The following is a 14,137-nucleotide window of genomic DNA, read 5'->3' as shown; positions in this document are numbered from 1 at the left end:
AGGTTTATAATACCTCTGTCCCTGGTAGAGGCACAAGAGAAGATATATTTTAAAATAATACAGTATTTAATAAAATAATATTTATCATTTAAAATGTCTTACAAGTGTAACACTATAAATAATTTAAAAATTAAGAGTTATCTTTAAAGTCAACTAATTTCCTGTTTTGTGTTCCTTTTCTTTGTTTATTCATATTCTATATAGTTTCAAGGATGGTATCACTTAATTTTATATCCTAGTGTTTTCATTTAGCACATCATCAGCAATTTGTATTATTTCTACTTAGACCCACAACTATTATTTTGGAGGTCTGCATAAGGTTCCTCCACTGGACATTGAAAAATTTACTTAATTATTTTCCTATTGTTGACCAGCTAAGTCACTTTCTTTAATTTAACATTATAAACAATTCTATAACAAATATCTTTCTTTACTTGGAATCTTCATTTGGGATTTTTTTCTTAAGATGCATTTCTAGAAGTGAGATTATTTGATTAAAGAGTAATATTGCTAATTTTATAGTTAAGTTTGGAAATTATCCATAAAAGTATAATTTTAGGGACAAGATAGTCCAAATATCTTATTTTATATGGATTATTATGAATATTTCAATCAATATATCAAGTATTTTTCTGAATTTATTTGTGCCATGTTATAAGAATGCATTTGGCTGCAAGTAAAGAAAAAAATAAATCCACTTAACAGTGGCTTATACAGATCAGAGTTTAATTTCCTTACATAATAAAAAGTCTAGCAGTAGGTGGACTGTAGTCGGCTGGCAACTGCTCAAAGAAGTCATCAAGGACTAAGGCCTATTACATTTTCTGACTCTTCCATGCTTAGTGAATGGTTTTCATTTTCATGGTTGCAAGACGGTTATTATACTTGTGGGCATTGAGCTCCTCTCTAAGCATGAAGAAGGAAAAGGGCAAAGGACTGAGAGGGCATATTATCTTTCTGTACTAATAAAACACATCTCCAGAAGAAGCTCCATTTGATTATTTTGGCTTTGATCTCCTTGTTCAGAACCAGGTCACATAGTCACACTTCACTTAAGGGCAGTGGAAAAGAAAGCATTTCATCTTGTACATCTCTATATTCTAGGAAGATGGAGAAAGGGAATGTGAATGGCTTTTAAGTTAAAAGGTCAAGGTGTTTGCCACTTGACTTTCATTACTCTACGTAAAAAGAAGTGAAGACGAAAGGAAATGGTTTTCATTTATTACAATTAAATGGTAGTCTCTTCCAGGGAAGTTATCTAATTGTATCCATCTTTGAATCCTTAGCATTAGCAGAATGTTCATACACGAAGAGGCTCAAAAAGTCTTTGTAATATGCTGAAACAGTAAATATATGTTCCCTGCAAATCTAAATGGATTAATTAAAAAGTCATATTAGATTAGCATCATTTTCCTTGATAGCATTTCTTGTTTGATACCTTAGGGAAATGCAATAAAAAGAATATTAGGCATAGTTTACCAACCAAACTTTGCACACAAATACAGGAATGCAGATTGAATGAGAGTCCAGCTGAATGTTTTAATATGGATTTTAATAACTATACACAGAAGTTATTAATTAGTGGAACATTGGAATGTTTAGCACCAAAAGAGCAGGGTCTTTAGTTTTTCCTCACTGAATTACTGGTACCTTGAACAGTACATTATAATTACAAGTAGACATTTACCAACTGCCTGTAAAACAAATGACTGTCAGAATGAATTAAGGTTTCCAGGAGTGCATTGCACATTCTGAGGCCAACCTTATCCTTTTTGGGAGGAAATTTATTGGTGACTTCATTGAGTTTGCTGCAGATCAGGCCTGCTCTTGATAAGTAACCAAGAAAAATAGTGAATGCAATGAATGTCAGACTCTGGATCCCAAAGACTTTTGCCTGAGAGAGTGAGAGTCAGAACACAGCAAGAGGAAATTGAGTGGGAATGCAAGCTAATTCCTCAATTTGCCCCCCGCAAACTAGCTGCTCAAGTACAGTCATTGTAAATTATACATAGGTTTTTTTGGTACACCAGCAGTTCGAATGAGGAATAATGATAAAAAAAAAAAATGGAAAGCACTTTATGACAGAGCCTGTTGAAAATGACTAGGTTGTCTTAGAAAGTAGTGACTCCTCTGTAACTTCAATTGTTTAAGTCTAAAAAAAAAAATCACATGAAGAGATGCTGTGGGAGCACCATGCATGAGAGGGGGCTGGACTGGGTAATCTAAAGACCTCTTCCCTCCTTGCAATATAATAGTTCTATTTTTAGTTAAATCTAGCTTAGACACTGCCTGTTGAAATCAATTCCTATCAATAGAACCTAAAATATTTTTCTCCATACTAATTCAGCAAGCTCCCACTGTAGCTTCATATTTTTTATGGCCATGATATAAGTCTGACAATCTTCAACTCTAGGTTGAACACGGGAACAGTTTAACACAGACACAGTTCTATGTTAGCTAATGGCTGAGAAGGGCAGTTTAGGGAGCGAGAGGCTTCTCTGATGAGATAACATGAGAAGTAAGACCTGAATGATAAGAAGAATTGGAGCACATAAGACACAATTTATGTCCCCAGAATGGCTGGCTTCCATCTATTCTCTCACACCTTTGTGTCTTTGCTTGCTCAGTGGCCAGCCCAAGCCACCATTGCCATTGCCAGTGCCTCATATCCCAACTGTGCCAGTGACCTCAGCCTCTCCCAGTGACTGGATTCCACTGAGATTGCATTAGAAGGAGACTCACAAGTTTGGTGCTCAGGTGCAATCAGTCTGTATCCTCAGAGGTTCCTCCAATCACTGGGGGATCTGGGTTCCCTAGCAGTTGCCATAAAGAGCCAGTAACAGAACCTGGAGGTGAGGGTGAATTAATTAGTTCTCTAAGGGACAAACTTCAACCAGTTTCAACAGGAGACAAGAAGACATTGGCAGAGAATCTCCACTCTCTCCTGTGGACAGAATGTTTCTGGATATAATGATGTAGGTCCTGTCTGGAAGAAGTGCTGGTGACCAAGAAAGCAGGTATGTTGTTTTGTGATGCTGTAGTCATTCATAACTCGCCACCTTGAATTTACTTTCCCCTCCTTTTCAGCCTTGATTCTCTTTTTCCTTCATTCTTGAGTCCTGGAATTACAACTTCACATAAAGTCTTGGCTTGTAAGTTTTGCCTCAGGATCTGTTTTCTAGAAAACTCAGACAAAAACAAACACAATACAAAAATATGAACCATAGTTCAGGAATTGTGCTCAGGTTCATGGAGGTGCTCAGGTTTCTGCCGTATATTCACAGGGGCACCGCAGGATATATTAAAATTTTGAAAGAAACTCAGAGATACTTGACATTTGTTAGACACCATGCATACTACTGACTCAATGTAGTTGATAGTTTCAACACTAGATTACACTACATTCTTTCAGTGACATCATTATGTTTGCAAAGCTGGGTTTTGGTGGTTGCAATTTCATGTGGTATTAAGGAGCAATACCACATGAAAATTAGTGTGGAACAGGAAATGAAGGTGGTGGTGTCTAATATGATCCTAAGATTTGAGAGGTTGTGTCATGCCCATTACTATCCCATTGGTAAGTGATTGTGGCTGCTTACAAATGAAGTACAAACATTTTTTCTTTCAATTTATGTTTTTTTCAAATAGCTACTAATGTTGTCAAGAAGTAAATGTTTATTGAATTGTTAGCATCTGAATACTTAATAAACATAAGTGTTAGGTTCATCTTCATAAATCTCAGCCTAGAAGTGCCAGGAAAAATAATTACTGAGACATTCAGTAAAGGGTGGTGTGAACTGAGAAAGTCTGGGAACCTCTGAGGTAGAGCTTTACGGGCAGGCAGGAATAAGCTCAGCATGTGATGTGGTTTGGCTCTGTGTCCCCACCCAAATCTCATCTCGAACTGGAATCCCCATATGTCGAGGGAGGGACCTGGTGGGAGGTGATTGGATCATGGAGGTGGTTCCCCATGCTGTTTTCAAGATAGTGAGTGAGTTCTCACGAGATCTGATGGTTTTATGAGGGGCTCTTCCCCCTTCACTCTCTGCTCTGCCTCTCCTACGGCCATGTGAAGAAGGTCTTTTCTTTCCCTTCATCTTCTGCCATGATTGTAAATTTCCTAAGGGTTCCCCAGCCATGCAGAACTGTGAGTCAGTTAAGCCTCTTTCCTTTGTAAATTACCCAGTCTCGGGGAGTTCTTTATAGCAGTGTGAAAATGGACTAATACAGCATGTATGAGAAATGGGATGTTAGGAGAGCTGAGTCAGAAGGTGAGGGACTGCAGGGATGGAGGAGGCACAGGAGAGACCAAGTGGGGCCTTGTAGGCTTTGACAAGAGAGCTCAGTTATCATTTCTGTACAACATGATACATCCTGGAAACTTAATCCTGGAAACTTCTTTTTCTTTTTTTCCTCAGTGACAACATTTTCAAAAGCTCTATTATCTTTTCCTGGTTTTATACATAACTGAGGTCTCCAATGTGTGCATATGCATGTTTAAATGTGTCACTTTTTAAAAAAACATTCTGTGTTATTTCTGGAAAATTCCTGAAATTCCTGAAAACTACATACATTTAAAAATGTTAAATATAATGTTCTCATTATTATCTGGTCTTGCAGTCTTATCTAGACTTAAATTTTTTTTCTTCTTTCTTTCAAACTTCACATTGAAGCCCTTTTATCAAGCTCGGCATTTAGGAGACTCAAGGTTGGTATTTAAGACTAGGATGACACCTGTTTTAGATTGAACAGTAATTAATAATAGAAAGGTGAGTTAGGAAGCTCACCAAATGGGGCATGGCTTTGGGCCCAGTCATGGAAATATTGTCCATCTGAGGTCTGAGATTATACTTCCAGGTCCAGACACTGGATGTTTCAATATACCCAGAGATGCTCATTTTCTTGGTTATGTACTTATGTTACTCAAAATCACATGCAATGCAGTTTCAAAGCAGAATGTCAATTTATTTTTGTGATTAGAATGCTTTTGACCCATTTTCAAGGATTCCACTTTTTAGTGTCAAGGAAACTAAGAAGCAGGATGAATAATTACAAGGTTACTTGGTGATCGTTGAAAAATAGAAAGGAAAATAAATTGTCTAAGAGAATGACTAATATTTTAAGTAACTTCTCAGGAGATCACCCCACAACAGAATTCATTTGTCTTTTGCTGGAATTATTTGTGCTTCCCAAATGTCGCTCTGTCTTAAGTTAGAGTTAATGTTCAATGACTGTTTTTTTAAAAACCCAATATTCCTCTGATTAGCAACCCATTAATACACTATTTAAACATATAAATACACACTTGAGAGGTCCAGCTGGCTTTTCTGATAGGCTGGGAGACATTCTGTTGGCATGTACTTATTGAATCAGGCAAAACCTCAAGACTCTAGCTAGAGCCATTCAACTCCGCTTCACTGTGACCATTTTCTTATGTATCCTTCCAGAAATATTATATCTCTATAGATCTTCTTTTCTCCATAAATGATAGCATACTACTAAATACTCTGAGCATTGTTTTTCTTTTTTTGTTAACATTATATATTTGAGATTGTTTTATATTAATGAATGTTAACTTGCCTTATGTATCTTGACAGTTCCAGAGAATTCCATTGTTTGGATGAATAACAATTTAGGTTGTTTTCAATCTTAAATCCTTGTGTATACCTACAAGTATATCAGAGGACGAATTTTTAGAAGTGAAATTGCTTAGTTAATTAGGTCATGCATTTCAAACATGGATAGATATTGTAAAATTTACCATCAGAGAGATTTTACTAGTTAAAGTATATCAAAAATTTGAGGAAGCATTTGTTTTCATACCCCCTCATCAATACCATCTATTATCAAACTGTTTGTTCTGAAAAATGACGTCTTTCATTATGTTCACAACGATGTATATTTCTTTTCTCAGTCAATAAACACTTCATGATGGTCTATGATATACACACTTATGCAATTATGTTACCTGTTTATTATTACTGAAGATATAGTGATAAACAACATATAGCGTTTATATACATGTGGGATAAATAGACACATGACAGTTGCAGTGGTCCAAGTTTAGTACAATGGTGCAATGGGAGCTATGGGAGGTACGTCCATCACAGTCTAGAAAGGGATCATCAACGGAGGCTTCTAGTGGGGAGAAACATGGGGAGAGACATGTAAACTAAAATCCGATGGAGGTGTAGAGTAGTTGGCTTGGCAAATCTTAGGAAAAGGAGAAGCAAAGAAGAGGAGACAGCAGACTCACACGTGCAAAAATGGGAATGGAGAGAGCAGAGAGCGTGTGGGGTTTGCACAAAGAACAGTTCAGAACCTCACTGTCATGACAGTATGAAGGGAAAGCGGGCAGTACTCCACCACCCACCAATGTAGCCCTCAAAATCAGCTGAGTTGTTTGAACTTTACCCTAACGGCAATATGACATAATCAAAAGATTTTTAAGTGGAGGCGTGAAAAATCAGAAGTATTTTGGGGCTCACACTTGAGATTGGATTGGGGAAGATACGGCTAAAAGTAAGTGGGAGTAATGAGGGGGCTGTCCCAGTAATTGGGTTCAGATGACATTTGCTTGATTTTAGGGATGTACGAGATATTCGTGGATCTTGTGTTGAAGCACCTAATACACGATGTCCCTTCTGAAGACGGGTGCATTAAACTGGGGTGAAGCACAAAGGCCACTGAGCAGCCTGGCTTGACTCCTGGCTTTGCCAGTTTGCATTTGCACGTGTCCAAGCCCTTGAGAGGTGCTGTGAAAACATAGAGGTGGATGAGGGAAGTGCTTATACAGCACATACCGTATAAAAAGAGGGCTTCATACTTGCTAGTTGTTTTAATTTTTATTATTACTTTTCCTCGCTGCACATGGAAATGTCTTTACCTTTGTCTTATTATAAGGTACATACGAGGAGAGTTACAGAACATGGGTGTTAGAAGAGATTTGACATATCTGTTCATTTTCCTAATTTTAGTGATGAGAAAATAAAGGGAAAGAAAGCAATTTAGATTTTTGCCAGTATTACAATTCTTTGTTCACGGGCACACCACGCCAGCCTGAAACTGTTCATTGGTCTGGTTCTCTTACCACCTCGTATATGTAGGTTTATAGTTTGGTTACGAACACCACCTTGTCTTAACCATAGATAGTTCCTGTGTTTGCCGACAGCAGCGATTTCTTGTGTGGAAACCCCTAATTTGGGAAACAATCTGTTTTAAACACTTTGTAGCACATCACTCAAACCGCACAGTTTTCGATAATCTTAGAAACAAAAACTGGGGTTGAGGCGGACAGTTAAATTCTGCAGACACCACAAGCTTGGATTCGTTTCAGCAGTCGGTCCTAAGTGGTTTGAAGCCCCTTCCGGGATGCCTCTTCTTATACGAACAACGCAGCGGCGCCAGGCGCCAGGGTCCTCACTTCTGCCTCCTGGATTTCCTCCGCCTTTCTGCTTCACCGAGGGCCCTGTGATCCGATTCCATCGAATTAACCGCTGTTTACCGAGGGTCTGCTGCGCCTAAGGAAGGCACCGGGCGACGAGCAAGGCGGGGACGCAGTTTGGGGACGCAGGGGTCCGGGCCCCAGTCCAGAGACAGGAGGTCGGCGCTTCGACTTGGCACCCGCCGACGAATTCACTCCAAGGTTCCCACTGGCGGAGCTCCTGCTACCTCCCCCCTCCCCTAAATGCAGCTCCCGCTACCTTCCCGCGCCCAGGGGCTGCTGCCTGAGCCCAGCTCTGCTCACTGGAGGGCGGCGGTGGAGAGGGTGCTGGCCCAGCGTCGGCAGCTGGGCTCAGGACCAAGGTGGGCGCCCGCCGGTCCTGGTCCCCCCAGCCTCACGGTGCAGGACCCAGGGCGCGGCCACTCGAGTTCCCCGGACGCTCTCCTTCCTGATGCTCGCTGTCCCTGCCCTGGCGTCCCCAGCCCGGGGTCGCAGCCTGTCCTCCTCTCTCTCCCCCTCCGCCGCAGCCCGTCGCCTCCGGGCAGAGTTCATGTTCAGCTTGGGCTTTCGCTCGGGATTTAGGAAGAGGCCGGCGGGGCTGGAGGGTGCGGGCCGGCGCGGGAGGGCGCGGGAGGCGGGGAGCGGCGGCCTCTGATTGGCCGGGGCGGGGGAGTGAGCGGAGTTTCCCACAATGCCCCGGTGCGGTGCAGCCGCGGATGGATGCTGCGGGAAGGGGCTGCCATTTGCTGCCCCTGCCAGCGGCGCGCGGACCTGCCCGCGCTCCTGCAGCCGCCGCCGCCGCCGCCGCCAGCCCGCCCGGCCCCTGCAGCGGCGCCGCCTGCGCTCCCTCCGCGGCCGCCGGAGCGGGCGCCATGAACCCCAGCTCCTCGGCGGGAGAGGAGAAAGGGGCGACGGGCGGCAGCAGCAGCAGCGGAAGCGGCGCCGGGAGCTGCTGCCTGGGCGCCGAGGGCGGCGCGGACCCGCGGGGCGCAGGGTCAGCCGCGGCGGCGGGGGCCGCTGCCCTGGACGAGCCCGCGGCCGCCGGCCAGAAGGAGAAGGACGAAGCGCTGGAGGAGAAGCTGAGGAACTTAACTTTCCGGAAGCAGGTCTCGTACAGGTAGGTGCGGGGAGCCGGCAGCCGAGACAGGTGCGCCGCGGCGGGAGACCCACTCTTCTACCCAGCAAGGGGCGCTTCCGCGGAGTTGGGCACCTCTCTGTTTCCACGCCTCTCCTTCCCCCTTTCCCCCTCTCCTCCCGGGGATGTCTGTCTTCTCCCCATCCTATCATTCCAGGCTGGAGGGCAGCAACGCCTGCTTTCCCCTGTGGCAGGAGAGAAGCACTGGGTCCCTAAGGTCAGAGCAACAGAAATTTTGTCTGTGTGTGTGTGTGTGTGTGTGTGTGTGTGTGTGTGTGTGTGAGAGAGAGAGAGAGAGAGAGAGAGAGAAAGAGAGAGAGAGAAAGGGTTGCAGACTCAGTGATGCTTAGTTTTCTTAAGAGAAGTCGTCAAAGTTGCCCCTAAGCAGGTGTCATCTTCAACCACCCTTCCCCCACCTTCCAGATTTCGCTGGATGAACCTTTGGCACTAACTTGACAGCTGAGATCACTCCGACAGGCAGAAAAGAATAGCACTACACTGAAGAGAAATCCTTATGGAAGTTGGACCTGCCTCGAAATCCCCCATGAAGGAAGAGTGGGTTTATGTCTGTAGATGCGCCACTGGTTATGGGGGCTCCATGCCTGCGTGCTCCTTGCCTCTCTCCTGGCTGGAGGAGGGTGTGGGGAGCCCGCTGGCAAGCTAGGGGTGAAGGTGAGAGTGGGGACCATATTTGCACCTAAGGATGAGTGTATGTGTAAGACAAGGACAGTGTGGGATCAATGGCCTTTAAATTAGGATAAAAGATAACCCCACATTGTATTAGAATCCAACAACGAGGAATTAGGATTTATTAAGGTCTCTCTCACCCCTCCCTTCCGCAGGCAAGAATAAAGACATTGACAGGTTTGGAGAGTTGTTGACACTAACCCTACTGCTTATCGATGTTAAAGGTCGAGGTGATATGCAAGCATAGGTTTACAAAGATGTACACTTGCTGGAGCTCAGAGGGTTTCTGGAAAAGGGGTCAGTGAAAACATTCTTGTAACCCTACTCTTTCTGAGTTAGTGTTCCCTTCCCAAAAACCATATAAAGTATTAAGCCTGTCACACCATGTGCTGTTATGTAAGCAAACGCAGATGACAGAGGTGTGTGGGTTTGGGAGGGTGTGTTTTATTTATGGGGGCAGGTGTGTGAATAATTGGGATCCCCATAGACATCGCCTGGCCTGGAGGCCACAGTCACTAGGGCATGTGCTCTGTGTCTAAGTGTTGACTTCTGATGACTCCTAAAACGCCTTCCTGGTGAGGTTGTTGCTTCTGCGTTCCTCCCATGCATTTTGTTCGCTGTGCGCTGAGGGAGTTCCCCACCTGAGTTGTTCTCTTAGTTACTCACACAGATCAGGTCCAAATGGATCTTTCTTTTTATACTTTGGTTTCTAAAAATAGACAGATGGTGGGGAGGGGGTAGCTCTAGGGAGGTATGCTAGGACACTGGCAGTTCTACTTCCTAGTTATGATGGCCCGTCTGGCCCCTGGGGGAACAGGGACTACATTCAGCCTAATTTAGGAGCTGTGAGTTGGAAGGGGGTGGTGATTACATGAAGCACAGTGTAGGCTGCTCCTGGCTTATTGGTATTCATCAGAGTCCTCACTGGGTAGGAAGACAAAGCCAGAGTTTGCAAGGGAAATCATTTCAGCTTGCCTCTTGTCAGGGGTCATTCTCTGAGCCTCCTTTTTTAAAATGTATGTTGTGTGGGGTTTTGGCTTTCTGAGTTGCATGCTCACACATGCACGTGTAAGTGTGTACACACACAAGCATAGACATGGACACAGACGCAGCATGTTTCTATAGAAGAATAATAACATTGCGTCTGCTTTACAATCCTTACATAGAGGTGGATTCTACTTCGTGAACATCATTTCCTTTTAAATAAAGCTTTACAGTCTCCAATTCCTGCATCAGTGTCACCTCAGGTGTCTGGTTAAAAGTGCTCACCACCCTAGACTTGCAGAATCAAACTGTCTGTGGGTGAGAATTTTTAACACGCTCCTCAGGCGATGTTTATGCAGACTAATATATGGGGATTGCCACCCTATTTTGCCCCCAAGACTAAACAATTGATCTTTGAACTCATAAACCCTCCCCATCCAAACCAGGCCAGTCAGTCTCAAAGTCAGAGGAAAGATGGTGAAAAGGAGGTGCTTCCATCTGGAGCATGTTTGTGCCTGGGTAACAGGAAATTGTCTCCATTTTGATCACTGTTACTTATTTGTTTTGGAGTAATGGTGAATGGCCTGCCCACTCGTCATGGCGGCCATTGGTGCTGGACTCCTGCAGCAGGGCTGGCTGTTTTACTGTGGGATGGATGAAGGGTGTGTAAAAAAAGAGCAGGTTTGTCAGGAGCTGAGGGTCGGCTCCTTGGTGGGGACCACACCACCTCCCTTCTGGGGGCACCTGAGGACAGTGTCTGGTGGGAGCTTATGGAGAGGAGGCAGGAAGACCTCACAGAATGGAGTCTGAGTGAAAGGACTGAGTTAGGGTATGGAGCATGGCTGCTTGCGTGAGGGGGATCATTTGAGGTGGAGGAGTGGAGATTTGCAGGTAGGCAAAAAATATCTTTTGAAGAACATGTGTATTTTTGGAATGAAACTTGACAGGCAAAAAGAAGGGGGCTTTGGGAGAGAGGGTGTGTGTGTGTGTGTGTGTGTGTGTGTGTGTGTGTGTGTAGGGGGGTCTCATCTGCTCCTTCTGTTGCTAAGGAACATATAAGCTAGGGTTTAAAAATAAATGAGGAGTGGGTGGGCATATGCAGTGACTCCTGTCTTTTTAGGAACCAGAGCCCTTTACAAAAAGCCTTTAAATAACCATTTCTGGAGGCAGATTATTCATTTTGCTTGACTTTTACTTTGTTAAGTAAAATAAACTGCTTTCTGTACTCCTAGATTTCCCCTCATTATCTATTCTGTGTTGGCTTTTTTTGAGAACCATTTTTCCCATGAGAATTTTTTCCTTTATTTCAGAATCTGCACCCCTAGAGCAAATAGTCTCTGTCGACTGTAAAGCTGAAGGTTTGAAAAGGCAGTGCGAGTGAGCTGGTACTTTTCTTTTAAAATTACTACTTCGTTTTTCTTTGCAAATTATGGTGCTGCAACAGATACATATGTGTAAATGACTATATACTGTGTAGGAACTGTTTTTTTTTTTAAACTGCTGTAAGAATTCCCATATAAGTCAGTACAATAAAAAAAAAAAGACTTCAGAAACACATAAGGGAGGGGAAGGAGAAGGTAGCTGATGTTTATTGTCTTCTATGCAACAGGCACTGGGCTAAGCCTTATTGTATATTCTGTCTTAATTAATCTTTGTGACAGTCCTGTGATGTGACTATGACTATTTCCATTTTATTGAAAATGAACTTGAGGCATAGAGCTTGGGCAGGAGGCAGAATTTAAAACACAGATGACTCCAAAGGACTGTCTCTTTAGACCGCATCACGCTGCTTCCCTAAACATTTATTTTAGGCTTGAGCTCTCTGTCCATGTGTGCATATGTGTATGCATGCGTGTGTGCAGTGTGAGTTATCTTCCCCCTCATCTGTAATACACGGCAGGTCATTACATATTATTATTATTATATATTATTGCATACCTTTTTTTGGCTTGTGGCCCTTTGTCTATATAATTTTAGGGAACTCTTCTACTATCTCAGAAATATAAATGAATATAAATTCATGATTGCAAATATATCAGTTTTGCTTCTGAGAACAAAACCACCTACATGCACCTGCTATGAAGATATCCTCGTTAGAGGTTTATATGCCTTAAAAAAAAATTTACACAGGGTTGTGTAGGCGAACCTAGGTCCAATGAAGAGCTGGCCCATCGGTACCTCTTTGGGCAGCACAGAATGAGTGATGAAGTACAATTTTGCTTGTCAGTATGTCTGGGCAGACCATTACTTATGAGATGTTGATGCCTATGATTTAGTTTCTCTGCTCATAAACCATGCTGGTAATACTAAACCTTTCTTAAAGGAAGTTTTTGGTATGAGATAGAAATAGGAGCAAGGAGTATTAAACGCTTTAGTTTGGGCAACCATGTAAAAAATGATCTGTTATTCTTTATAGGTTGATGATTAGAATGTAGTTTTTTTGCGTGTGTTTTGTCCCACAAAGTAAGGTTGTGTTATTACAAGAAAGATATTTGAGGAGTTCGAAGCCACGTAGGATAAAATGGATATTGGTCTTCCTTGCATTGTAATCAATAGTGTATGGGGGAACTTTTCTCCTGAATATCAGTATGTATCCTCTTTTGTAAATCCATTTTATTTTGTTTTTATCCGTGTTTTGCACATCTGTTAGATTTTTAAAGACTGTAGGATCAGATTAAGATCTTGGTTCTAATTTAATTCCTTTCTCAGTAATGACTTACATACTGACTGTTACTTCCTCAGTTAGGATACACACTGGGCAAGATTTCAATTCAACCACTGTCCGGAGTACTTATTCTGCTCTAAGTGATCTTTTAGAGGCTTGATTTTTACCTGGGAGATTGACACTATTGGGTCCTGTGGAATCTGGGGATAGGGAAGTTGAAGAGAGGTCTTTGCTGGTGTTCAATTCTGCTGTGGCAACAAACAACAGCATTGCCTCATGGGGCCAAATTCAATTAGACTAGAGCTAGCTCTTTCCAACACCGCACTTTCTAGTCTGAGGAAATGAGGGTTCCTAGTGAGAGCCCAGGCTGTCTACACCCTGTATGTTCGTCTGGCCTGGGATCTGAGAACATGTTCCCTACACAACCCCAAGGTATCCTTGAAGTTGAGTACACTGTGAGACCAGAAGCATCTGGAAGAACTATTGCCTACACGTTGGGCTGTGACATTTGCTTTCTTCCATGGGTATGTGTTGGTAACACTGATCCTGTGGAGACTAATTATTTTTCCTGAGGTCCTGTAACTAGTTTTGGGACAGTAGTTACTGCAAATAAATGATGGCATGTGAGCTTTTCTTACAGTGGATAACTTTGAAAGAAAGGTCAGAAGTAAAATGAAATCTAAGCCATAAAACTTTTTTTCATTAAAATTTAATTTGCTCAAAATGCCTATAAAAATGGGCTGATTTCTAATTGTTGGAACTGATTGAAACCTATTTCAAGGCACAAAAACAATGCAGATAATTGGAGAAATAAAAATACCAAGCTAAGTCTGTTTGCCCATAATGCTTCCACAACTCATTGCTGGCTTGTTCACCAGGAAAACTCCTCGATTGGTATGAGCTCAAAAGCGTCCACTTGGGGTGATGGGTGGCTGGTGCTCCCCTGTTCTTTCAAATAGCTTTGTTGAGACAAGTGTCATTTTCTGGTCTGGGACTTAGACTAGGGTTTGAACTTGGCATCTTTCTGCTAATCTCAGACAAGCTATGTAACTCCTTGGAGGCCCAGCCAATGTGTTTCTAAAATGAGATAATAGTAATACAGGTTTGTTAGGAAGATTAAATGAGTTACTTTATTTAAAGGACATGGCATAGTGCCCTACATAGAGTTAACTTGTGTACTTATTACCATTCCCCAAACTAAGTTGTTAGCTCCTTTGAAGAC

The 14,137-nt window shown here is 42.7% G+C and overlaps 1 protein-coding gene across 9 annotated transcripts in view, besides 3 other annotated features; it reads left to right on the top strand.

Annotated features, from left to right (window-relative positions):
- Positions 7,246 to 7,540: a silencer, noted in NCBI's record as "tiled region #15617; K562 Repressive non-DNase unmatched - State 20:ReprD". NCBI's record gives its function as "represses a minimal TATA promoter and a strong SV40 promoter by Sharpr-MPRA in K562 cells {active_cell/tissue: K562}" and the evidence as "EXISTENCE:reporter gene assay evidence [ECO:0000049][PMID:27701403]".
- Positions 8,025 to 8,074: a silencer, noted in NCBI's record as "silent region_18684". NCBI's record gives its function as "represses an Ori minimal core promoter by ATAC-STARR-seq in GM12878 lymphoblastoid cells {active_cell/tissue: GM12878}" and the evidence as "EXISTENCE:reporter gene assay evidence [ECO:0000049][PMID:35858748]".
- Positions 8,049 to 14,137, top strand: part of DGKI (diacylglycerol kinase iota) — a 465,938-nt gene continuing 459,849 nt past the window's right edge. For 6 of the 9 annotated variants that reach the window (XM_047421022.1, NM_001321708.2, XM_047421021.1 and 3 more), the window contains exon 1: positions 8,049 to 8,561. In XM_047421022.1, the coding sequence (XP_047276978.1) occupies positions 8,161 to 8,561 (401 nt within the window). In that variant the 5' untranslated portion in view covers positions 8,049 to 8,160. Of the gene's footprint in view, positions 8,562 to 8,690; positions 8,797 to 11,560; positions 11,636 to 14,137 lie in introns of those variants that run through there. The other 3 variants (NM_001321710.2, NM_001321709.2, NM_004717.3) reach the window with 3 other exon arrangements.
- Positions 8,709 to 9,210: an enhancer, noted in NCBI's record as "H3K4me1 hESC enhancer chr7:137530559-137531060 (GRCh37/hg19 assembly coordinates)". NCBI's record gives its function as "activates a minimal SCP1, AML or CMV promoter by ChIP-STARR-seq in naive H9 embryonic stem cells {active_cell/tissue: H9 hESC(naive)}" and the evidence as "EXISTENCE:reporter gene assay evidence [ECO:0000049][PMID:30033119]".

The sequence above is a fragment of the Homo sapiens genome, chromosome 7 (assembly GCF_000001405.40).
Source record: "Homo sapiens chromosome 7, GRCh38.p14 Primary Assembly".
NCBI classification, from domain to species: domain Eukaryota; kingdom Metazoa; phylum Chordata; class Mammalia; order Primates; family Hominidae; genus Homo; species Homo sapiens.
Note: the sequence above shows the minus strand (reverse complement) of the source record. Positions and strands in the feature narration are given on the sequence as shown.